At 36.2% G+C, this 26,741-nt stretch overlaps 1 protein-coding gene across 4 annotated transcripts, besides 4 other annotated features; it reads right to left on the bottom strand.

The window, feature by feature from the left end:
- Positions 1 to 544: 544 nt before the first annotated feature.
- RWDD1 (RWD domain containing 1) lies at positions 545 to 26,716 on the bottom strand. Of its 4 annotated transcripts, none has more exons than XM_047418863.1 (9): positions 26,565 to 26,716; positions 25,742 to 25,798; positions 24,049 to 24,162; positions 17,860 to 17,925; positions 13,363 to 13,493; positions 9,235 to 9,378; positions 7,816 to 7,948; positions 7,270 to 7,332; positions 545 to 5,240 (listed from the first exon to the last, which is right to left on the bottom strand). In XM_047418863.1, the coding sequence occupies exons 6-9, from the start codon at positions 9,358 to 9,360 to the stop codon at positions 5,119 to 5,121; spliced, it is 444 nt and encodes a 147-aa protein (XP_047274819.1). In that variant the 5' UTR covers positions 9,361 to 9,378; positions 13,363 to 13,493; positions 17,860 to 17,925; positions 24,049 to 24,162; positions 25,742 to 25,798; positions 26,565 to 26,716; the 3' UTR covers positions 545 to 5,118. The 4 variants fall into 4 exon arrangements, with proteins under 4 accessions (XP_047274819.1, NP_057188.2, NP_001007465.1 ...); NM_016104.4 differs by lacking the exon at positions 25,742 to 25,798 and adding an exon at positions 25,235 to 25,362; NM_001007464.3 differs by lacking the exon at positions 25,742 to 25,798.
- Positions 1,047 to 1,347: a silencer, noted in NCBI's record as "silencer 2 fragment used in repoter construct". NCBI's record gives its function as "represses an SCP1 promoter by reporter assays in K562 erythroleukemia cells {active_cell/tissue: K562}" and the evidence as "EXISTENCE:reporter gene assay evidence [ECO:0000049][PMID:32103011]".
- Positions 1,097 to 1,297: a silencer, noted in NCBI's record as "peak6052 fragment used in MPRA reporter construct". NCBI's record gives its function as "represses an SCP1 promoter by STARR-seq MPRAs in K562 erythroleukemia cells {active_cell/tissue: K562}" and the evidence as "EXISTENCE:reporter gene assay evidence [ECO:0000049][PMID:32103011]".
- Positions 26,462 to 26,561: an enhancer, noted in NCBI's record as "active region_24996". NCBI's record gives its function as "activates an Ori minimal core promoter by ATAC-STARR-seq in GM12878 lymphoblastoid cells {active_cell/tissue: GM12878}" and the evidence as "EXISTENCE:reporter gene assay evidence [ECO:0000049][PMID:35858748]".
- Positions 26,662 to 26,741: a silencer, noted in NCBI's record as "silent region_17496". NCBI's record gives its function as "represses an Ori minimal core promoter by ATAC-STARR-seq in GM12878 lymphoblastoid cells {active_cell/tissue: GM12878}" and the evidence as "EXISTENCE:reporter gene assay evidence [ECO:0000049][PMID:35858748]".

Raw genomic sequence — 26,741 nt, 5'->3', positions numbered from 1 at the left:
TAAAAGCAGGAATATCAGTGATCTGGCAATTTTATTGGTGTTTTTAAGGTATAGTTATAATAAGAAAAATTTTAATTTATAAATGACATTGATAAAATAGCAGGTGAATAATTTTTCAATAATATATGTGCTAGGAAGGGGTTAGTTTCCATAGAATATAAGCTTGATATATAATTGAAATGACCTTTGCTCCCATCCGACTTCCTTGGACTTCCACAATATGGCTCCAACATGACTTTCTAGTCCTATTTTCTGGTAGGCACCTAACAACTATTGTTCTCCAGGAAATCTGACTGAAAGAATTATAAATATAATTTAAATATATGTATATTATATATATATAATATAATATAAACAAATAAAACTAATTTGTCGAAAGCAATTTGGAAATTGGCCTAAAGCTACTGAGAGAACGGTGGCAAATATGACTTTGATTGAAATGCCAAGTTCATCAAAACTGTAATTTCCCAATCACTAATTTTGTTGTTGTGAAGTTTATTTTAGTATTGGTATAAGAGTGTATCATGAGGTAGCTTTGCAACCCTTAGTCTTTGGCAAATATTTTATTTTTACCTGTTTTTTTAAAAAAATTTAAACTTAAAACACCTTTTATGTTTCCAATTTATTTGCAGCCAATAATCCCATGATGCATTGTTCATTATGTAAAAATTGAAAACAATCTAAATATTCAACAGTAAAGGATTTTCAGAGCTAAATACCCTTCATCTTTATGCAGGGAGATGAAGAAGTCAAGAAAACTAATGGAGACTACTCTTTAAAGGAGAACAGCTGCAAAGGCAGAGATAGGCAATAGCTATAAGAGGAAGGTCTAGGAAGTATTTTTTATGATAAGTAAATATGTAGTAGAAATAGCCAAAAGGTGGAAGAACAAAACTAAATATAACAATTATTTAAAAATTCATCATGTTAATTATGTAAGGAAATTAAAAAGCTTTGGTGGACTGAGTAGAACCTCTTCTCTCTCTCTTTCTCTCTCTTTTTTACTTCAATTACTTAAAAACATCACCACTAGTCTCTCTTTTTCTCACTTGCTATCTCTCCCCTCCCCTCACCTCCTTTGCAGCAACCCACTGCTATCTTTCTCCTCACTTGGTTCAGTATTCCTGGAATATTTAGCTGCATGACAGGATGAAGATCCACAACTAAATACCATTTAGCATTGATGGTTCAGTACCGTGGACAGCAGCACTCATGTTGGGAATGGGCCTTACTGAAATCGCAGAGTGACTTTGTAAGTTTGGTATATCACAGAATAAATTTGTTGGCGTGGCTACAAATGGATAAGGTGCTGGCCAGAATATTAAAATTCATGGCCGAATTAATTTTTTTTTCTTCCCTTCATGGAGGGGAGGAAAAAAAAAATTAACATTATCACAAAGAAAGGCTGGCGCATAGTAGCACTCAAATACCTTAATTGAATGAACTTTTCACCTTAATGATAAAGAGTGGCTCAATATGTAGGCGTATTTGATGGCTCTTTTAAAGTGATCATTCCAAATCAATAACTGCAAAAGAAATTTGTGTATTTTTTTACTGTGCTGTCCATGGTGTCAATGAATATAAGGTTGTCAAAAGTTGAACTAAAAAATGAGGACTGAGTTGAGATTCAGTCACTAACACAGGATAATGCAAATTAGTTTTAGATGTAAAATTAAAAACATCATTGGCTATTTTTATGACAAAATTTTAAAAGTCCTTTCATGGCTTTGTCCAACAATTTAAATGACCCCATCATCCATCCTCTGACACAAGTAACTTAAGTGAAAGGTTACTTGAAACTTCACCAATGGAGGCCTGAAAATTTAACAATATACTTTTCTGGCAGCATTCTTTCATCTTTGTCACCCTGATACAGTTCCTAAACAGAAAACAAACTAATGCTACTCAAATTTACATGTTTACATAAACTCACATTTCATGTGTCATCTGTTCTGAAGAGTCTTTTTCTAAAATTAGTTCCTACAGTTCTTGAAGTGTGTGACTCTCATTTTGACACACAATCATACAATGGCTCCAACTTTTGCTGCCTGACTCGTATGTCCTCTGAAAGACAAACATTAAGAGCTATGTGAAGTAGTTCACTTACTTTTCTGTTACACTTCATTACACCTAAAAGGGCTGCCACACAAATACTGAACACTTACAAATCATCTTCTTTCTGGAATACAAGAGTGCATCTCTTTGCTTCTTGGCACATGTATCTCTGGAGTATGACAGTACGATCAGTGAACTTGTCCTTTAAATTGATGAGATGTTATTATCACTCCTCTTAGTTTTACCCCAACTGGGAAATGTTCACATAACCATTTAGACGTGTTGCCTTAGATCAGCATTTATCCAACTTTTTCCCTAAGGCATCCACCTCTGCTGGCAAAAGTGCATGAAGTAAAGCAGGATCAAGGAACATTATTCCAAGTTGTAGATGGCAAATACAACATTTCTTTGAACTCTCATGCTTTACTTTAAAATACATTAGAATTAATTTTGCACTCTATTCTATAATTCATTCATTCAACAAATATTAGGGACCTACTGCATGCCAGGCATTATTACAGGGATACAGTAATGAATAAACATATCTGTGTTTGTTTTTAACCTAGTGACATTTTAATACAACTGGCACGAGTAGAAAAACAAAAACTTTACCAAATCAAAGAGCAAAACCGATAATCCAAGATGGAACAATTATTGCTTCAAATACCACTCGTCATGCTATTGCAACCTGAGAGTATATTTGCACCCATTTGAGCAGCATAGTCTTGGGCTAATTCCCAGAATACAAAGCCAACAGTAAATATTTACTCTAGATGAAAATATTTGAGAATGTTATTAGAACTAACTAGGTTATTAGAAGACAACTAGGTTGTCTTCATTTTACCATTAGATTCTGCCTTTAGGTTCTGAAATGGCAAAGGTGGACATCCACTTTAATACCTGGAGAAATATATAAAATTTATTCTTAAAAATCACATGAAGTGGATGGGAGGTTATCATTCTTGACACTTCAAAGTTAAGTCTTGATTTCAGCACCACATTGCTAACAATTGCTTTTTATTTTTTTTAACCTTAATTGAGCAGCTTCTTCCAGGTTCTTATGTATCTGCTGATCAGCTTCAAAAAGATGGGAAAAGCAAAATCTCACATAGGACAAACTTTTGGATTTCTCTCTGCAAAGAAATGCTGAACATTCCTGTTGTTATTCCATTCTATTGGTCTGGGATCAAGGCTGACGTGAAGATTCCTTGAAAAGTATTAAACTCCTCAATGGTAATTTTATCTTAAATAATTTGCTTTTTGATTATAAGGTCTAACTCCAACAATAAATGAAGGCTTAATATTGCTGTTTGTGGGTATGTGGCATATGTATTTTTTACTGGAGGCAGCTCTTTATAATAGCTTTATGAATTTAAAATAGCACAACTGATTTCCTATTGGGGTTAAGAGTCAGTCCTCCAAAACTGTAGTGACTGAATAACTTGCATGAAGACTGGCTCTCCTACCTGGAGCCACCAAGTCAATCATCCCAAATTATTACAAAGGACTCTATGTGCACGGATGTTAATGTGTTTCTCTTGCAGACAATGTACGATCCCCAAAATTCAAACTCCTTCAGACTGGTTAATTAGAGAAGAGGTAAAGAAAATACCAAAATATATAGACTTCACGACTACAGGACAGTGGTTCTTAACCCAGATTGTGCATCAGAATAATCTGTAGAACCAGTATGAGATTTTGCTGTTTTAAAATTCAGACTGGGGATCAGTGTTCATAAATCTAACTTGAGAGGGGCCTAGGAATGCATACCTTTTAGAAACTCCACAAATGATTCTAATTTAAATACTGTAATTTAAATTTTAATTTAAATTCTAATTTAAATACTTTAAGACTGCTATGGTTTGGATATTTGTCCTCTCCAAATCCCACATTGAAATTTAATCCCCAGTGTGGTGGTGTTGGGAGATGGGGGCTGGTGGGGTGTTTGGGTTATAGCAGGTAGATCCCTCATAAATAGATTAATGCCTTCCTGTGGGGAGCAGGGGTGAGGGAGTTCCCACCAAAGCTAGTTTAAAAAAAAAAAAAAAGCCTGGCACTTCCACCCTCACTCTCTGGCCATGTGATCTCTACACACATAGTGCCTCTTCCCCTTCTACCATGAGTGGAAGCAGCGTGAGGCTCTCACCAGATGCAGATACCCAATCTTCAACTTTCTGGTCATCCAGAATTATGAGCCAAATAAACCTTTTTTTTTTTTTTGAGACGGAGTCTTGCTCTGTTGCCCAGGCTGGAGTGCAGTGGCGTGATCTCGGCTCACTGCAAGCTCCACCTCCCGGGTTCACGCCATTGTCCTGCCTCAGCCTCCCGAGTAGTTGGGACTACAGGTGCTCGCCACCACACCTGGCTAATTTTTTGTATTTTTAATAGAGACGGGGTTTCACCGTGTTAGCCAGGATGGTCTCAATCTCCTGACCTCGTGATCCACCTGCCTCAGCCTCCCAAAGTGCTGGGATTACAGGCGTGAGCCACCGCACCCGGCAAACCTTTTATAAATTACCCAGCCTCAGATATTCCTTTACGGCAATACAAAATGGACTAAAAGGAAGGCTAAACTTCATCTTACTTATGATCATAATATGGCCTCCTGGTTTTATCAAGACTTAAATTTAGTGTGCCTGGAGGCTAGAATCTGGATGGTTTAATGTGCTAGTCACCTCAGTTTTCTCACACTTCATACAATGCTTGAAATCCAGAAGTAGCCAAAGTCTCCAGCATAGAAATTCCAAGTTATTCCAATTTCCTGTGTATAAACTCATGTGCACAGCAGCAGCCTACCTTCGAGTCTTGGTGCTATAGGCAGGATCTCTCTCAAATACTAGGTGATTTTAAATACGTAACCTTGTGCTCAACAGTAAGAAGCCTTGAACATTTTATATTTGAAATTTTAAGGTCAGTTTATTAAGTTCAATGATGAAAGCTATCAGAAGAATATTCTCCTGAAAATAATTTTTTCTTAGAAAAAAAGAAAGGAAAATCATAACCCTCTGAGCATAGCCACAGATGCTGTGGCAGTCAAGCCTCTCTGCAGATGGGGACAGTCCATTAGTCAGCTGAGTCACTCTCTGGGTCAGCAGGATTATAGTCTGGATCATCTTCATCATCCTCCAGCTCCAAGTCATCCATTTCTTGGAACAAAGACTCATCTACCTCCACGTTGTTTCCAGCTGCAAAAGGCAACCAAAAAAAAAAAAAAATCTCCTTTAGTCTTATACTCAGAAATAGAAGATAAAACTCATTGGCACTACCAAACAGAAATCTCCAAATCTGCATATGAGGTAGGAGTGATGAAATCCCAAACTACAGTTATCAACAGTGATTTGCATTGGTCAGTAGAGACTCTGAAATTTTAAGAGCAACTTCATGTTCCTAGTTCATAGTCTAAAAATCCAGTTATTAAAAAAAGCTTACTAGAATTTATAATGTAGCATTTATATGTTGAAGACAAGGATAATATGTTCTCCTGGTTATAGAAAATTGATTATCACTGATCATGGGACCTGTATGAGGAGTTATCTCTTCCAGTAGTGGTAGATAAGCACATCGTTAAAGCTCAGCCATACTTGTTAATTAATTGATTTGATTTGATCTTCATTCTCACCCAGTTCCCCTTTTAGCCAATGGTATGCCTTCAGTTACAATGTCTAAAGCCTACAGGAAACAATACCCAGGCTCTGCATTAAACATCTTCACTCTTCAGTGTGTCTGAAGTAGGTAATACAATTAAGTCCTGGCCAAAGAATAACTGGCTCTGTCTAGGAGACATAGCAAAGGCATCATGGAGCAAATGAAGTCTGAAATATCTTCATGATAAATTTGAATCCACCAAGAAGAAAAGGAGCCAGGATGAAGCAATTTTAGGTAGAAGTATACACAAAGGCAGAGAGAAAATATAAGACCTTGAATAATTCTAACTGGAAGATGAAATTCCTGAGAAAAAATACCTGAAAGTAACGTAGATGAGGGCCAGATTTGAGAAAGATTGTGTAGGTCATTCTCTCCCTATAAGCAGTGGAAACCATCAAAGGATTTTAAGGAGAGAAATTGTATGATTAAATATGGGTTTTAGGAATACCATCTCATAGGGAGTGACTATAGAATAGGTAATGGCACTAGGAGGAGGAAGAGGTTTAGGGAAATAATTTAAGAAACTACCACAAAAATCCAGGTGAAAATGACAAAACATTGAAATCAGAAAAGGAAAAGGTATCAAAAACTTTAAAATGTTGCCTATCAGTAAAGGCCTAGCTTAGATTAGAAAGCATTTAGCAGTAAGCTATATCAATACTGCTTCTTAACCTTCTTCAGCAGGTAATCCAGAACAAGGCTGAAAGGCCAGAAGCTAAAGGATTCCCAACTGGCAAGACAGATACAACAAAAGGTTAATGAAGTACGGAACTCTAGAGTGCTATCAAAGGTGTGACTGAGTATGGAGCCCAGTTTAAGAAAACACATGTAGGCCATAAGCTCCCGAGGGGAGAGAACTGGCCCATACTGTACTCTTCTGTATCCTCAGTGGCCAGGACAGTGCAATCAATATTTCTGAATGAATCGATGATGGATAGATGGAAGAGTATAGGTGGTAGAAGAAAAGCACAAGGGACTAGATGCTCCAAATACAGCAAGAGTCATATGAAAGTCTGGTGAGAGGGGATGCTAGGAGTTAAACATGAGGTTTTTACAAGCTCCATGACAGTCCATAGAATAGTTTTCACAGATTTATGATACTAGAAATTTGAAGAAAACAGGTCACCTGAGTCACAATAACCTGGTTTACTAGTTGTGAGAGGCTGGTGTGATCATCATTGTCTACTTCTATCTTTGATATTGCTTAAGTTACCAAAAAATTTAAAATATATGTTGCTATAGAATTACAACATTAATTTCAAATGTATAAATTAGTCAACCACTAGAATTTATTCTCCAAAATGTATTTTTTAACAGCCTTGGGAGGAAAAATGTACAATAAATAAAGTTCAGTTTGATTTTCATGGTTCAAAATTAAAGAGACTACATTATATACATGTGGAATTCTTTTTTTTTTTTTTAATAGAGTCAGGGTCTCACTATGTTGCCCAGTCTGGTCTCAAACTCCTGGGCTCAAGCAATCCTCCTGCCTTGGCTTTCCAAAATGCTGGGATTACAGGTTTGAGCTACTGTGCCTGTCCCACATGTGGAATTCTACTATTATCTTACCATCCTCCAAGAACTGGATATCAGATGTGTCAAGATTATGATCTGTTTCAAATAGTTGTTTCCCTAAAAAAAAAAAAAAAGTATGTTTAATTCAAATGGCATAGTTTTTCTCCATTTTCACTACAATACTTAGAAAGCAAATTTGAAAACCTCTTTTTCTGTGAATTTCAATAAATTTCTGAATTTATTCAGTAGCTAAGTGGCATATGAAATGTATCTGCATTAAAATGGAACAAGTGAAAACCCAGTCTGCCTTGGGGTACTAGAAAAACAAATGGGTTTGACTCTACTACTTCTAAGACATGATCCTGAATGTCCTTCTATCACAGGATCTAGTAATTATAATACTTATATCAAAGATAAGCCATAAAAATTAATTACAAATTATGAGTGGAGAAACATCATCTGGTAGATATGTTTTCTCTTTTTGTCCTAGATGCCTATGTATATTATTTTCTTACAGAAATCTGACCAAATGATCCTCTTGCTATATAAAAAATGATACAGGAGGGTTTAGGAAGAACAGGAATGGCAGGGGAATCATACCACTTAATTTATTTTTTCCTGCTTGTTCTTCTTCTTTCATCCTTTTCTTTTTAATTTCCAAGAGTTCTGCATCAAACTTGGCTTTCCAATTTAAGAAATTCTCAATTGTAACTGGAGTACCATGGAATAATTGCTTAGGAAATAAAAAAAAAAAGTCACCAGATTAATGAAACAGCAGTTTAATAAATCCTAACAGTATCTTTTAAACATATCAATATAACCCCTTATAAGAAAAACAGAAAAATTAATGTTTGAATTTTTGAAATATTTAAACTGATTTCTGCCTGCACTGGCTACTCTCACTGGTTTTGGCAACATACTTTGGAGTAGTCCATTTTTTATTCTTATTACAAGAAACAAAGATAATATGCATTGTATTCACTGTATTTACCACCATAGCTATTCATTGTTAAGAAGAAAGTTGTTGCTGTCTGATATGGTTTGGCTGTGTCCCCACCCAAATCTCAACTTGAATTGTATCTCCCAGAATTCCCATGTGCTGTAGGAGGGACCCAGGGGGAGGTAACTGAATCATGGTGGCCTGTCTTTCCCATGCTATTCTCATGATAGTGAATAAATCTCACAAGATCTGATGGGTTTATCAGGGGTTTCTGCTTTTGCTTCTTCCTCATTTTTCTCTTGCCGCTGCCATGTAAGAAGTGCCTTTCACCTCCCACCATGATTCTGAGGCCTTCCCAGCTATGTGGAACTCTAAGTCCAATTAAACCCCTTTTTGTTCCCAGTTTTGGGTATGTCTTTATCAACAGCATGAAAACGAACTAATACACTGTCAAAACTGATATGTTTTGAATACACATCAATTTCTAATACTAAATCATTGCTTTATCACTTCATTTCAAAATATGAGGTTTTCTTTACATGTAGTAACTATTTAATTCACTGTAGTATAGGGGATTTATAATTCTAAACTCTATATCAAGCTTGTCCAACCCATAGCCTGAGAGCCACATGCAGCCCAGGACAGCTTTGAATGTGGCCCAACACAAATTCGTAAACTGTCTTAAAACATGTTTTTTTGCTGCAAATTTTTTTTAGCTCATCAGCTATTGTTAGTGTATTTTATGTATGGCCCAAGACAATTCTTCTTCTTCCAATGTGGCTCAGGGAAGCCAAAAAATTGGACACCCCTGGCTCTATATCATAGGTGAAATCTTTATACTTCTTGGTCTTATCTGCATGAGTTTTACTAACTTTTTACTGATTATCATTCATTACTCATGCTATGCCACCAACCAAATGAGGGACTTCTACAATTTTAGTGAAACTTTACTAAAATTTACTTTTATTTATTTTTGTGATTTCCAAAAAAAATACTGCTATTGATTAAAAAAAAACCCAACCAAGCAACTGAAAACTGATTTAAGAAATAATAAAAGAAAACAAGGCTTTTAAATATACCTTTTCAGCTTCTTCTGCTTCTTTTTCTTTTTGTTTCTTTTCTTCTTCTCTTCTAGTTTTTATCTGATCTACTATTTCATTTAATTTTTCTTGCACAGCTGTCACTAGAGTAAAAATCATCACCATACCAAGATTTTCTTCAGCCTGTGTAACACAAAAAGGTGATGAGGAATAACTCTCAGAAAAATAAAAGTCCATACATTTATAATAATTACTAATTTGGTTATATTCTATGTTCATACAGTTCAATAAAAGATCATTTAAGTAAGCATATATATAAATAATAATATCTTATTTAAAAAGTCGTGTAAATGTGCCATATCCAACCTGAAACAGATACTGTGTTTCAGCAAATTCTGTTTAATAATCATATAGGTAAAAATTCAGAAAACTGTTTCCTATAGTAACTAGTAACATCCTTTCTCCAGCATGTTTTCAGTATTTTAGTTCTTTCTATTTTAAGAGCTGTGACAATGAACTGCATTGAGGCCAGAGTGATTTCTAAAATAATATAATAATAAAGAATGTAAGAAATACTGTAGTTTATCTATATCAACCTTTTTTTCTTTAGATTTGAAATGGTTTAAAACCAAATATAAAAAAATCTCGAACTCATGAAAAGGATATAACTCAAAAGGCTATTAGGAAGTTGGTCATTTGAAGGCAGAAAAAAATAACAAGATAGGGTTCCAATGAAGAAGACAAAAATAATTTCAAAATATACTAGCCAGAATCTCAGTGCTAGAAGCAGAGATTACTAGGCATTTCTTTGACAGGGCTGGCCTCAGCAGCATCTGAGTAGGTATTGCATCTCCTGGGACCTCTATGAGTACTAGGCTTCAAGCTAGCTCCTACAATCAAATTCACTAGGGCTTCTCTGTGGTGTTTCTATGCTAACCATCCTAAATCTATGACTAAACAAACTTCTCTCCTGAGTGACAAACCCATATTAAAACTGACTATTTTGGGCAGTGACTTGATGTCCCACAGTCATCTCAACACACAACCATCATCTTCTCCTCAAAACCTATTCCTGGATTATGAATCTCCACAAATCACACCACCACCCACCCAGCCTGAACATCCCCATCCCATCATAAGCTCCATCACTGCTACTTACCTATTCCTAAACGTCATTTAAGTCTGTCCATCAACACTGTTATAAGCCTAGCCTGGAGTACCAACATTTTCAGCTTGGAATACAAGAAACTCCTAACTGGTCTTCTTAAAAGCTATGATCTTAAAACCTAACATCAACCTCCCCTGACCACTCAATATATACATACATACATAAACACACACACACACACACATACACACAGAGAGAGTCACAGAGAGAACTAATCAATTTATAAACTGAAGCACCACAAAACTGATCTAGTCAATGTCTTGCTTAAAACCCCTTCATAGCTTCGCAAACCAATCAGGACCAAATACATATTTTGTGAACATTTAGGAGACCCTTCAAAGAAGAAAGTAGCCCTTTAGTTACACCACTTATCACCACCAACTTCAAATCCTAAGTTCAATAAATGTTGTGTGACTAGAAGTTCTAGGAGAAACAATCAATCACTTGCTCTCTCTCACCTCAATATCCTTTAACAAGTTGGTTCCTCTACCCTGAAATTCTTCAACTCTATTTCCTGGCCAACTCTTCCTACAGCTCTCAGCTACTCCTGGAAGCTTCTACAGAACTTTGTCTATGTCAACCCATATAATCTTATATTTCATAAGATTCTGTCATAGTATTTTTCATACAGAATAATGATTTCCAATTTGCTAATCCACACTTCTCACCAGAGAAAAAAATCTGTGAGACCAGGGATGGTGTCTTTCTTGTTCACTCAACCTAATGCTTGACACATTTCAATAACAAAACTTTCATATCCAATAAAAGTAGGATATCTTTTAGAAAAGTTAAGTATTCCGATAGAAAAGCAAAAAAATAATCATTCACATGGAAACTGGATAACTCGGAAGTCATACTAGTTCCACATCACTAGTATTTTTAAAATGCAACTTATAATTACATTCCATTTTCACCTTGTCATCATTTTATGTCCAAGTGTAAATATCTGGTATTAGCAAATGTGAGAAAACAGATACCACAATGACTACAGTGAGATCATAAATTGGCACAACCTTTTTGAAGGCCAAATTAGCAATATGTATGAAATTATTAAGTATGCATTCCCTTTAATCCAGCAATCATACTTCCAGGAAACACTGAACTACCATACTTATCAGCAATTCATTCTTTTCATTTATTCAACAAACATTTGAGTGTCTATTATGTGCAAGGCACTAGGAGTACAAAAGAGAACCTGCTCTAAGGACTTACAAGTAGTGATATATAAGAATGTTGAAAGAATTATATACTAATTCTTGATTATTTGTTAATTATATATCAGGCAAAAATGAAAGACAACTGTAAACTGTTTTACAAAAAGATGAGTAATTATATATACATACAATGAAATTCTATATGATTACCAAACATAATGACTCATATATGTGTAACTGAAATGAAAAGATGCTCACATATATTATGTGCAAAAGAGAATATTATAAAACATTATGCATAAAATGATCAAACTTGGGTGGGAGGGGGGACTATGTATATAACCATAAGGAAAAAAAGTCTCACACTAGATCACATCAAAATGTTAATAGACAATTAATTATACATAGTTGGTACAATTAAAAATCATCTTTATTTTCTTCTTCTTCATGATTTTTTGTATCTTCTGAGTTTCTGCAATATGAATTTATTATTTTGATACTGGAAAATTATAACGATTATTTTTTGGAAAACAAAGGACAAATACTCCCTGATCACACCTGAGGGTCAGGCAGGTGTCAAATAAATCAAAACAGCCTTTTTGAAAAGAGACAGTTTGAGTACAAACAAAATACTAAAAACATGGAAAAATTCACTTAGACTGAATAATTTACATTAAGGTACGACTGACTGAATATAGCATAACCATCCCAGGTTCTCTGCAATGTTTTAAAAGATGTTCGAAGAGCTGGGCAAGGTAGTTCATGCCTGTAATCCCAGCACTCTGGGAGGCTGAGGCAGAAGGATCACTTGAGCCCAGGAGTTCAAGGCTGCATGAGCCATGATCATGTCACTGCCCTCCAGCCTGGGTGACAGAGCAAGACTCTGTCTCAAAAAAAATAAAAATATATAAAAAAAGATGTTAGAATTAGCATAACTTCATGCAAGGTAACAAGGTGAATAGGGCCCAACATCAGCAAAAATTCCTATCTGATATATCTTCTTTCACTCCTCATTGTACAACAGCTCCAGATATTTCTATAACATCAACATTATGGTGACCACTGATCTTTAGAATATGTAAGTCACATATAAGGTGGAGATATGTTTTCTGTCAATTCTTCTTAGAGTAAACAAATAAAGGTAGGACTTCTGACTTTAAGATGGTGGAGTAAGAATTTTACCCCCCTCCCTACTCTCTACTCTGAAGAACCCCATGAAAACTGTCTACCCAAGCATGAGTATATTTTAAATACCTGCCAAGCCCAGATTACAGGTAGCCTATCCCACAATAAAATTAATCCAGTAAAAACTTTTTTTAATATCCATTTTTATTTCCACACAAGCCTCCCCTCATAGAGGGGTCATAAGCCATTATTGTTGTCTGTAAGCTTTGGGAGGATGAGAGATGGGAGAAAAAAAATCAATTACCAGTCCTTTTCCCAGACTGCAGGCAACTAGCATGTAAAAGTCAGAGAGGGAAGAAGTTTTAATTTTTTTAAAAAGTTGAAAATTGTAGCTACATATGGGACTAGGCATTCTAAAAACCAAATCAAAACACTGTTTACAACTTAAAGTACCCGTTGGACTTTTTATCACTAATGACATGAGGGAAAAAGCCATGAGGCTGACTGAGTTTCAAGCAGGGGCACTGGGACAAATTCTATTACTCAAATTTTAAAGGGACAGTAGGAAACAAAAATAAAGATGCTCTGTGATTATGTAACATGAATTCCACTTGGTCAATGTTCTGTTTACACAATAGCATTTTCTAACTCTTGAAATTAATATGTAATATTTAAGGCCAATAAATGCTGCTACAAAACATAAAATTATTATTTCCTTACCTGTAATGCTAGTAATTTTAAAATGTCTGAGACATCATTATCTTCTAGATTTTCCTGGGAGAATATTTCATAAAGGGGAGCTTCATCTGGGTATTTTTCACTGTATGTAAACTTGAGGGTAGTCTGGACAGCTAAGACACAAGATAAGAGTTTGATGTGAATACCTTAAAAGTAAAGAGGTAGATATCTTTGCTGAATCAGTAGAAAGTAGCACAATAGATTTTCCTACAAAGAAAAAGGTTATTAAGAGACCAGATGGATAATCACTAATGTAAACAACACATATCACAAAGAGATACATGAAACAAATCATGGGAATACCAAAAATCACACTTACACGTGAAGCACATTTACCACTTATTGGTATTTTACCAGACTGCATGTCTGAGAAAGAGGGTGGATAAACGTCACTTTTTAAAAACCTTTCCTAAGATAAACAAAGGCACTGAATACAACATATTTTTAAAAAGACTACCGTATGCTCATTTTCAGCCTCTACCAGAGCCAGTTCCTACCTGCAGAAGATCTGGCTATAGCCCTCGAATCTATATTTGAATCCACACAATGTCAGCAGGGCTAATTAGTGGCTGGATGGCACCGTTTAGACCTCGAGAGTATAAAAGGTTATATGGGAAACTTTTAACCTAATTCATCTATATATTCTCACTCACTCTTTTAGTCTGTGTCAATTTACGGATCTCACACTTGTACGGAAGTAAAACTCTTATGGGCGTGTCAGTGCAAGGTGCCTCTCTGCAGCACAGGCCATTGAGTTCTCAATTCCACCAGGCAGTCTGCAACTAAGCAGTAGTGCTAAACATTTTCTGTTAAGACTTTTTATTACTCACAATGACCTTTTTCCCAGAGTGCCATCTTTTGTGTAACTCACATTTTATATTATTAAAATCTGATTTTGATGAAGCAATACAAATTTATACTGCTCTTCATGGACGGGGAAAAAAAGCACTTTAAAATTTGCAGGTTTGATATTTTATTTTTCATGTTATGATATTAACAAGGAATTTTATGAACCAAAAATTGCAAAAGATTAAGTGTTAGAGGTCAGTAAGAAACAGTATCTTCTGGCATTTTCCTTTCTTCTTTTATTAGCACATTTTTAGTTTTATTGGTGGAACAAGATTTTTTTTTCCATTTTATTTCTTCCCCCCAGCTTTCTTAAGGTATACTTGACAAATAAAAATTGTATATATTTAAGGTGTACAATGTGATGTTTTGATATACATATATATTGTGAAATGATTATCAGAACCAAGCTAATTAACATCACCTCATATCATTATGATTTGTGTGTGTGTGTGTGTGTATGTGGTGAGAACACTTAAGATCACCTCTTTCAGTAAATTTCAAGTATACAATACAGTATTATCTATAATTAATTATAGTCACTATGTTGTGCATTAGATCCCCAAACTTATTTCATCTTGTATAACTGAACCTTTGTACCCTTTGGCCAGCATCTCACCATTCCTACTACCTCCCAGACTTTAAACAATCAATGCATTAAAGAAGAAACTTAAAGGGAACTTTAAAAATATCTTGAGACAAAGGAAAATGGAACATGGCCAGGCGCTGGGGTTTATGCCTGTAATCTCAGTACTTTGGACAGCCAAGGTAGAAGGATCATTTGAAGTCAGAAGTTCAAGACCAGCCTGGGCAAGAGTGAGACCCCATCTCTACAAAAAGTTGAAAAATTGAGCTGGGAGTGGTAGCATGTGCCTGTAGTCCTTGCTATCTGGGAGGCTGAGGTGGGAGAACTGCTTGAGCCCAGGAGTTGGAGGCTGCAGTGAGCTAAGATAGCACCATGGAACTCTAGCCTGGGCAACAGAGTAAGATCCTTGTCTCTAAAAAATATTTAAAATTTTAAAAATTAAAAAAAAAAAAAAAGAAAATGGAAACACATCATACCAAAACTTATGGGTTGAAGCAAAAGCTGTTCTAAGAGGAAAGTTAATAGCAATAAATGCCTACAATCAAATAAAAATAAAGATCTGAAGAAACAATTTAACATGCCCCTCAAGGAACTAGAAAAAGAAAAAACTGGGTGTAAAATCAGCACAAGGAAGAAAATAATAAAGATCAGAGCAGAAATAAATGAAATACATCAGAAAAACAATAGAAAAGGTCTAACGAAACAGCTAGACTAGAAAAAAGGGAGAAGACGAAAATGAATAAAATCATACATGAAAGAAGATATTTTATAACTGATATCAGGGATGGGGAGATATCAGTTACAGGATAAAAGGTTTAAGACAGGATGAATAACTTCAGATCTATTGTAGTGCATTATTACTACAGCTAAGAATAATGTACTGTATACTTAAAAACTGCCAAGAGATTAGATATTAAATGTTCTTACCAAAAAAATTAAAAAGTAAATTAAAAAAATAAAGTTTATCATTGTGGCAAATTAGTTTCTTCCTCTTTTCTATGAATAGAGCTTTATACTGGATTTGCTTCATGTGCATTATATCCTGAGAATATTCTTTAACACTTAGTGTAAATAATTGCAAATTGATTTTCACCATGCAGGTATATTAAAATGCATTTAACCATTTAAATAACTAAGTTTAAAAAAAAAAAAAACTGATTCTACTATAAGTAAAAGGCATTCAGTAGAGAAAATTTAGGAATAAAATAATGGAAAAATAAAATAACAAATAATCCCATTATCAGGAAGAGATCGCTATTTCCATTTTGGTATATTTTAAGTATCTTAAAAATATTTCATAAAACTACATTATTTTTATCTGCATATATTTACATTTTAAACAAAATTTTATGTATAGATGGATAAAATTTTGCTTAAAATGTACATATTCATATATAAATATAAAATCTCAAAAATAACATGAGAATACTTCCAAGTCTTTATTCAATACAACCATACTTCCACTTTATAAGTATGTCACTGTTTATTAGTTAAGATAGAAACAATGACATTATAAACATCCTTGCATGTATTATTTTGTATTATGATACTGTGCTTAGAATAGATACCCATAAATACAGTAGTCATTGTATCAAAGAATATGAACATTTTCAAAGTCTCCTGCTTCATGATTCCAATAGTTCTCCTGAACATGTGTTTCGATTCATATTCCAAACAGCATAATGCTATCTTCCAATACTAATAATTTGCTGGATATATTATTTTAGCTTGCATTTTTAATTACCTGTGAGATCGTTCTTTTAATACTACCTTTAGAAATTGTATATCAATGCCCTTTGCCCACTTTTCTACTAGTTTGTTCACTAAAAAGGAGTTTTTGGGGAAAAAAAAGTACAATGCAGGATTTAGTTTCAAAGAAATAATTTTGAAAGTATGGTGGATAATGCACTGAGTACACCTATTTCATAGAGCTATTACTAGCTCCTAATAAAGCTATTATTCAGAATATGGGAGCTCTCACAAGAAATTTTTATATTTTATTTTTCATTTCAGCGTAATCTTAAAGAAAATTTTATTTGGATTATTTATCAATGAGCATCACCACACCATTTTGGAACCCATAATGGCATCATATGAAGCCCAAATCATGCCACTGGCTTATTTACAAAGGAAAATTTTAAATGGTTTGAAGAACAGTCAGTATAGTATTTATTTCATGCTTTAAAGCATTACAGAAAAATTTTTAGATACCAATCTGCAAAAGTATATTGGTTATCAATTTGGTAGTAAATAAATGTATTCAATATCCTTTTAAGTCAGATTTCAATAATGTGTGAATGCAAACCTCATTTTCAAGTATACTAGACAGATTTGGAGTTATCAAGTAATACCATAAAAGTTGGCTATTAATGACTGCTCCTGGCAGAATTTAGGTTTACTAGCTTCAAAGGGGGTAAAAAAATGTGTAGGGTTGTTAGTTCCAATTTACATAACCTTTTTATCAAATTACCATATCAACTAACGTGACTAAAAGTAGAAATAAACTTCAGATACCATTCCCCCAAACATCTCCAAATTTAATTTATTTAACTTTAATTTATTGGTTTTTATAGTTACGTTATTTCAAAAGAAAGAGACAGAAACATGCAGACAGACATATATCCAGCCCCATTTATAACACCAAATGTCCAGTGAACAATCTAAATGTTCAAAGAGAAAAACAGCCATGAAAAAATAATAGTCACTCAAAGGAACCACACAACCACTGAAATATGTTTGCACGTGAAGTATTGCTTTGAACAAAACAAAAGTTTCCTACCTTTTTTCATCTGCTGTATTATTAATATTACTATTTCACTTTTAAAAACTAAGCTTATTGTGCCAGACTATATTTCATTAATTTCCTCTCTATTTCCCTAGAAGTCATGTTCACACAGTAAATTCTGACTAGAAATATACAACATTCATAGCAGATTCGTAACAGCCCCTTAGCACCTCCACATGACAATATCCAGCATAATGCCTACAGAATGAGTGAAATTCCTGAGAAATTTAGAAAAACCACAAGTATTTTTTATAAGACTTACTTTCATCATTTTCTCCAGCCTCAGACGTCACAGTAATGGTGAAGCTGGGTGGATTTTCTGATAATACTGCAAGAAAATACACACAGAAGTTATTGAAATGCTTTCTAAGGCAGATGCTTTTCCTTATTAGCAAATTATCAGTACCCAGTCCTAGAAACTGGTCCCTAGGCTATATTTCCATTTCCACAAATACAGACTGAACAGAACACTGAAATGATAAAATTACCATCAACTTTCTATTTAAATGGAGGGTTGTCTTTAATCTGGAAAGAAATAACTATGGTAGATAACCCTCTTGGAGTTTTACCAAGTCAACTGAAAAAATGAGGTAGTTTACCGTTTATTTTAAAATCTCCACCTATACATGGAAAATTACATTCTTAAAAAATCCCAAAAATAATGGCAAAGAGTTTCATGTTTCTCACCTGAAACTACCCACTGATACTCATGTTTCACTGATTTTTATACTTATATATTGTGAGATATAACTCAGAATCTCCATGACAAACAGTAAATACCGATTTGTTAAAGTTTATGTCTTCTTGCTGTCATTCTCTACCACATCATCTCTAAAACCAAACTTTCTTTCACATATGCTTACTAAGCCTCTACCATCTTTCATAGAATTATAAAATGAATTAGCTATGAATGTAAACATCAGATTGCATGTAATTTACTAAGCAAGACAAGACACATAAATCAACATTTATATAAATAACAAAGCTTTGTATGTCATTTTATAGCCTATGTCTATCTAATACTCATCTCTGTTTATCATCTATTCCTCAACAAGAATGCTATAACAACTCTATGAGAGCTCCTAGATCAGTATCTGGCAGTATCTAGAAACTCAATTAATATTGCCCCAATAAAACAAGAACTAAATGAATAGAATGAAAGGAGGAAAAACAGTAACAAAGAAAACTTGTACTCAGAACCATTTGAAAAGTAAACAAGGAAACTTCAAGCTACCAGGGATGGCTGCTAAGCCTATGAGAAAAGCCTATGCCTCACTCCCTGTCCAGGAAGCACTGGTACTTGTCAAGGTTGGCAGCAGCTCTGCAGACTTTTTCAGAATGAAAGAGCAATGGATTACTGAAGAAGTAATCATGGGAACTATTCAACTTTTCCTACCTGGGAACTTTCTAAAGCCATCATAAATATATATTATCAACAGTATTTTCTGGCCGGGCACAGTGGCTCATGCCTGTAGTCCCAGCACTTTGGGAGGCCAAGGCGGGCGGATCACTTGAAGCCAGGAGTTCGAGACCAGCCTGGCCAACATGGTGAAACCTCATCACTACTAAAAACACAAAAAATAGCCAGGCGTGGTGGCGCATGCCTGTAATCCCAGCTACTCCAGAGGCTGAGGCACAAGAATCACTTGAACCTGGGAGGCAGAGGTTGCAGTGAGCCAAGATTGCGCCACTGCACTCCAGCCTGGACGACAGAGCAGGACTCTGTCTCAAAAAAAAGAAAACCCCAAAAACCAATTATTTTCAAGATAGATGTCTTCATTTTAATTGAATTTAAGGTACTTTAAGAAATGATGAACACCTGTGATTACTAGAAAAGTGTTAGATAAAAGACTCAGTAGATTCATATTTTAATAGGTTTTGGGTAGTCCAGCCCATGCTGAAAAAAGTTTCAGCCCACCAAAAGGTTATTATAATAGAGCCATAATATGGTTGGGCTTGTCTATATTTTACAAATATATGTAAAATATAGTTGATGTATTTCATTCTTATTTCCTTTCATGACCAACTTTAACATTTACAAGTCATGAAATGTAAACACTGCAACTATAGAAATAAGGGATCAGCCCAATGACATTCCAACTTATTACCACTTTCTATGACTCCCTGAGGCTATAGGTCAGGGGTAACCAATACTCAATTACAACAGGTAACATTTACTGAGCATCACTTTGTGCTTGTGCTATGCTATGCATTAACATGAAAATCCTGTACTTCTGGCACAAGACCATGATTTATACTATAATTCACTAAATTTTCAATGCCATCAAGTATGAGATATGCTTTACATACCACTAAGAAAGAAAAATAAGCTGCCAACTAAACCGACATGTAACTGATTATAAGAAAAGTTCATAAGAATTCAGAGATGTTAAGTGTAAAATATGTCTTAAAAACTATTAAATATACTATCACCCCAATTTTACAGATGTGGAAACTGAGATAGAGAGCTTTTAAATAATTTGTCCAAGGTTATCAGGTAGTAACTGAACAAACAGAATAAACTATATAGAGCATCATTTAAAAAGAAAACATATTTCCAGCTGAGAAATTCCAAGAAAGTCATTTGAGCTAGGCTGTCAATCATGGGTGGCACATTGGCAAGCAGACATGGAGAAGGGAAATGCACTTGAGGCACCATGGAAGCAAGGGCATAATGGTGGCAAAGCTAAAGATATATATAGGGAATAAGAAATTATTCCATTTGCTGAACTTATATGTGAGCGAAGAAAACTAGGTGAAAATACAGTTGAAAGTTTAGTTGCGCACAATCTTTTTTTTAGCAATAATATGATCAGAATTGTTCTCAAAACATAGGAAGACAAATCTAACAACAGCACATAAAATGAAAGGAGGGAGACGACTACAGGCAGTATGAAACTAGGTCACTATTGCAATCATCCAGGCAAAGGTAATAAGGTCCTGAACTAGGTCGGCAGCAATGGGAATAGCAGGAAATGGTGATGATGATATTTTAAGTTGGCAGGCTGCAGGCTGAGAATGTGATGCCACTAACAAAAATGAGTAGTAACAAAAAAATCAGACATGATATATTTTAAGGACACTTTAGGACTTTCAGTTAGAAGTGTTGAACATGCAATCAGAAATGGGCGAATGGTGGCAAAGAGAGCTGGGCTTTAATTCAATTTGGGATCATCTAGACAGAGGTGATAGCTAAAGCCATTAGACTAAATGAGATCATCAGAAATGTAACACAGAGAATAAAAGCCAACATAAGCTTTTTAAGGAATTCTCAATTTGGAAAACAAAGTAAGAGGAATAATAACAAACTCAAGAGATAACAGTGTTATGAAAATCAAGGGAAGTGAGTTTCAAGAGCATATGAAGAATTATTCTCCTCATTCTACCCCATCCTGCCCACTGTCTCTTGTCAGTTTCCTAGCAAGCAGATTTTATCACATTGTTACCTGCTTACAGCAGCAGTTCCCTATCCATATAAAGTGTGTTGGAATGAGTTCTGAGAAAGGGGTAGAATCACAAATAACACACTAAAAAATATGTGTAACTCAAAGTCTATTTTATTTGTGAAGCCACCCTACCTATTAGAATCTGAGTCTGATGTGGCAGTGTCTACAATATGCACTATATTGTCTGTGTGGGAATAAAGTGGGCAATGAACTATTGCCCTGTCAGATCACATCTAAGTCCCTGACAAGGCCCTCTGTGATGTGGTCCCTGCTTACTGGTCAAGTCTCATTTTCCATGACTCTCACTTCTCACTTCATGTTCTAGCAATACCCAAATCACTTGTCCTTTGAACATATTCTGATCCCTCAGAGTCCTGTTTCTGCATATGTGGGTCCCAGGCTGGAATACCCTTTCCCTAGTCTCATTTACTTGTTAACTTGTCATTACTCCTAAATTTTCTGAAACAACTCAGACCATCCCCTCTCCCTAAATTTATCTGATGTCTGTTTCCCCAAGCTGAGATCCTAAAAAAATGCATATAGTAACTATTTGGTAAATGAGGAAACCAAAAGATATGGGAATGTCAGCAAGAATATCAGTGAACTACCGGACCTGGGGAGCCAGATAGAACAGGGAGGAAAATGGACCAGAAAGAAACTGATGAACTATCAATCCATGAGAAATCATGAGACGCATGTTCAATACAAGCATGGGAACAAAAGAACTACAGGGTACAAAGGTTATGGGAAGGAGTAATTTTCAGAGGCCAAAATGTTAGAGATGGCATTTTCAAGGTGTGGCAACGCCCATGTGCAGCTAAAAAAAAGTGGAAATCAAAATCATTAGTTGAAAGAGACAAGAAATTATGAAGCCATATTAGTGGAAAAATCAACAACTAAGATGGTATTTCTAGTAAAGAGTATCATATGTTTGTTTTACAATTATAAGGTATAAGGTATTTTCACTTACATTATTTCTCATTAAACAGATACAGAGACTAATGCTTGGAGAGGCTAAGTGATTTGTCCAAGGACACTACATAAAGTTGCCACTATAGAGAAAAAAACGTGAAGCAAGTACGGCAAAGAAAAAAGATTTTGGGAAGTACTGCTAAAAGTCTCCCAATATCCACTCTTAAAGTTATGCCATTTTTAACTGAGCATACTGACTACCAGAATAAAGATTACATTTCCCAGTTTCATTTCCAGCTAGCTCTCACCAAATGACTAAGTTCCCACTAAAAAGATGGAAGTAGATATGCCCTCTGACAGTTTCCAGGAAATTTCCTTAAGAAACTGCCATCTCTTACTTCTCTGTTCTTCTTCCTTCCTTTATTCATCCTGCTTCCTGGAAATGGAATGTCACCATCTTGGCCACGAGTGTAAGACTACATCTTAGGGATGACAGAGAGCTACATTAGAAGATGTGTCCCTGAGGAATTCTTGAAATAGAGCTGCCACAACTCTCTTATATGTGCAAGAGCAAAATAAGTTTTTACCTTTTTAAAAACCAATGTTATTGGGGGTTTTCTGTCACAGATGAACCTAATCCTATTAAAATAAGTATTTTTTAAAAACAGAAAAAGGGATATTTCAAAGTTGGGCAGTAACTAAAATAGGGATGGGAAAGTTACTTAATTGGATTCACAAAAATAGATAATTCCTAAGTTCTGATAAAGGACTAATCCCATTACCATGCATTACTGTGAGTTAGGGTAAGTAGAAGAAAGATTAGTCTTCACTAAGGATGCCAGACTTCCACCACTGTAAGTAATTCAAAATACTTTTGAGGGCCAGGCATGGTGACTCACGCTTATAATCCTAGCACTTTGGGAGGCCGAAGTGGGTGGATCACTTGAGGCCAGGAGTTCAAGACCAGCCTGGGAACATAGTGAGACCCCAGTCTCTACCAAAAATACAAAAATTAGCCAGGCATGGTGGCACACCCTGTAATCCCAACTACTTGGGAAGGTGAGGCAGGAGAATTGCTTGAACCTGGGAGGTGGTGGTTGCAGTGACCCAAGATGGTGCCACTGTACTTTAGCCTGGGCAACAAAGGGAGACTCTCTCTCAAAAAAAAATTTTTTTGAGAAAAAGAGTAAAGCTGGGCCAGGTGCAATGGCTCACGCCTATAACCCCAGCACTTTGGGAGTTGGAGGCAGGAGACTCGCTTGAGGCCAAGAGTTTGAGACTAACCTGGGCAACAAAGCAAGACCTCTGCTGTTATAAAAAATGAAAAAATTAGCCAGGCATGGTACTGCGAGCCTGTAATCCCAGCTACTCTGGAGGCTGAGGTGGGAAGATCACTTGAGTAAAGAGGTCCATGGTTCCAGTGAGCTGATTGGGGCACTGCACTCCAGCCTGGGTGACAGAGTGAGACCTTGTCTCAAAAAAGGGAAGGGGAGGGGAGGGGAGGGAAGGGGAGGGGAGGTGGAAGGAAGGAAGGAAGGAGAGAGAAAGAAAAAAAGAAAGAAAGAAAAGGAAGGAAGGAAGGAAGAGAGAGAGAGAGAAAGAAAGAAAGAAAGAAAGTAAGTTGTTGGCCACAGAGGAAGGGCAGGAGAGATGTTAGGGGACAGATGGTGGTGAAAGTGACAGAATTAAAGATTTGTCAAAAACAGGGATAATAGAGGTAGCAGCTAAAAGGTACATTAAGAGATACACAAATTACCTTTAGTTTCCACAAAATACGAGAGAGCCCATATTAAAATAAGTACCTCTGGTTGTTAGGGAGTGTCTGACCTTTCAAAAAGTATGACTTAGAACAAACTGCTTTTACAGGACGACTTCTTACCTATCTCAAGATACAATTATAACTGTCAAATGTGAATGGCTGCTGCTTAGAGGTACTGACAAAGAAATACAGGATTATGTACTCCTCTTTGTAAGGCAAACAGAATTAAGGAAACTTGGCTTTTGGTTAACCTGATGCCAACAAATGCGTTTCAATAAAACTCCCCACAGCCAGAGATTTCAATACATAAATTGAAATAACCAAATTCTACTACCTTAGCAGGACCTTGTCAAGTGAAGCACTACTGAAGGAGAATGTGGTATCAGGAGAGTCCATTTATATTTTGGAAGACTAGTTGTTAGGAGGGTTGGATCAATGTGCAATCAAGCTACAGAATAGGCAAAAAGAAGAAATTGTATTATGATTTGTTATAATCACAACAAATGCAACACTGGACCAAAACTTCTTTGCAAATAGTCAAAGCAATTAATTCTGAGGTTAGGCTAAATCTATGTGCCTAGGTCTATAGGCTGGACTGTGTCTCTTCAGCATCCACATGGGGTCACGTGTACTTAACAAATGCTTCTTTGTCAAGCACTCAGTCATCCATTAAAAAAAAAAAGTATATCTATTTCCTTCATTAATAGTATTGAGCATTAACCAAATTCAATAATTAAATGTGATTCAAAATGAAGTTACAAAACTCCCATTTAGTGTTCCTTGGCCAACCGACACAAGCAAGATCTCTTTCTTAAACCTGGCATGAGAATACAAAAGTATGGAATCATAAATACAAAAGAAGGCTATAAAACAGAAAATCTTGCAAATCTCCAAGATTTTAAAAGATCAAACATGGAAACATTTTATTTCAAAGTCCTCTGCCTTTTCCCCAAGAGTTTTCATAAAGAACATGATCACTAGGAAGGCAAAGTTCCCTAAGAACTATAAATAAAGACACCTCATTTTAATTTATTTATTGCAAAGCTTGTAGAAATGTTGACAGGAGTTAGAGACAGATGGCTCATCTGATAATGCAGAATACCTGAATGCATCAAAAGATTCATAAATTGTCTTTTATTACCCTGGCTCAGAATCCTCAAGCACTTGGGCATCTGATAAGAATTTCACATAGCGAACTATACCAGAGCTGTCAGGGCCTAGTACAATTTGAAATACCCACAAGATTATTTCAGGGTTAAAAACAAAAAAAGATATCAGTTTTATAAATGCTTATATGCATAGGATTTAGCGAGGGATAGCTTATGTCCAAAGAAATGAAAAGAATAGCACATCCTGCTGTCTTGACTCTGCCTACAGTGTTCATACCTAGTATGTTTCCAAAGTACTGGAAATGACCAAACATGATTAAGAATATATCCAACAACTGACCCTATATTCTATTTTAGACATACACATATAAGCAAGGATAGAGAAGGGAGCCAGACTCCATACACACTCACCCAGTTAATGACACTCTCAAACCCCTCTTCACTCATCCCCTTAACATCCTCACAGCACAGATGTACTGCTGGTGAGAGAGAACATGAACAGGACTGGAGCTATACAGGGATAGCTGAGAGACATCTGCCTGTTGGCAAAGCAGAACAAAATTTGCTACCATTGCAAGCAGTGGTCAAAAGGTGAAGCCAAGAAAACTAAGCTAAACAATGAAAGGGAGAGGGGTTGGAATTTATAAGTTAAAGTAATATACCTTACACTATAAATTCTGACTATCAACGATAGGCAACACTCAAAGGAAAGGATGGGGAATGTAAATGCACACACCTAGGTTCTACTCACTCATATTGGCTTTATTTGACCGCTTCTCAAATCTCAGAGGAGCCATATTGATATAGTTATGTAGCATTTTTATAATCATCCGAAGCATGGCTTAATAGAGAAATCTCGTCCTCTAAATTATACCTAATGAACTTCTCATTATAATATTTTACATTAGCCCAACCTACCAAGTAATCTTCTGCTCTCTCAATCTCAGCTGGAGCTGAATCCCAAGTCCCATATGTCTGGAAAGTGAAAGAACAGGCAAGCGTTCTGGACGTATAACTCAGTACCAGCCCTGCCGCTAACTCGCTGGCGGACAGTACAGAGCAAGCCACTTAGCTTTCCTGAACCCCCATGACCTTGGCTTGGAGCAGGAGCCCCAGGATAGATGATGTTTAATCTCCCTTCCAATCTAACAACCTATGAATTTATAGCAGAACGGAAATTTGGGCCACATTATCCATTAGGCATTCTGCTGAATGCCAGATTTTTTTTTTTTTCATAAGAAAAGAAACCCGACAGACTTCAGGGACTATGCTACTCTCAAAACCGATTTGAGTAACTGAAAACAGCACTCTGAATCCTATAAACTAAAACAGCATCGTATGAAAAACAGTTTCTACCTTAATAAAGCTAAAAATGTGAAAACTAACATTCTTGCGGCTGTGGAAAAACGAATCGCACTTGGAGTATTTTTTCTCTTAATGTATTATAAATCTCAGGTTGCTGTAGGTTACACAGAAACCAAAGTAATCCCGACTCAATTTTCAGGCCTGACACCCTCCAACATCACCCGGACTTTTAGATTTCCGGGAACAAGCAGAGAAGGAGAAAAAGTCACTGGGTTGCTGGTAAGTGACTGAAGAACTTGAGGAGTGGAGGGCAAGGTGGCCGCGCGGCCTCAAGGTCCCCTTCTCCACCCCAACCTATGAGGCCCAGAGCTGCGGCAGCTCCTGCCCGTCCTACTCCACCTCGGGGCGGCTACAGGCTTGCGGCCGCGGGAGTCACCTGTGAAGGAGTCAGGGTAGATGGACTCCAGGGCCTCCAGCTCGTTGCGCTGCTCCTCGCCGTAATCTGTCATCGTGGCCCTTGCTCTTGCCCATAGATCGCCCAGACACCTAGGCGGCGCGCAGCAGCCCAGACAGCTGCCGCGCCGGGAGAGCGGGCGGCGGCCAGGCGGGCGCA

The sequence above is a fragment of the Homo sapiens genome, chromosome 6 (assembly GCF_000001405.40).
Source record: "Homo sapiens chromosome 6, GRCh38.p14 Primary Assembly".
Taxonomy (NCBI): domain Eukaryota; kingdom Metazoa; phylum Chordata; class Mammalia; order Primates; family Hominidae; genus Homo; species Homo sapiens.
This window is presented reverse-complemented; position numbering and strand designations above follow the sequence as displayed.

Coding starts and splice junctions, on each gene's coding strand:
- RWDD1 (NM_015952.4), bottom strand. CDS start 26,637: ATGACAGATTACGGCGAGGAGCAGCGCAACGAGCTGGAGGCCCTGGAG. Junction 9,379..13,362: donor TAAAATTACTAGCATTACAG/GTAAGGAAATAA, acceptor TGTGTTACACAG/GCTGAAGAAAATCTTGGTAT. Junction 7,333..7,815: donor AGGAAAAAATAAATTAAGTG/GTATGATTCCCC, acceptor TTTTTTTTTTAG/GGAAACAACTATTTGAAACA.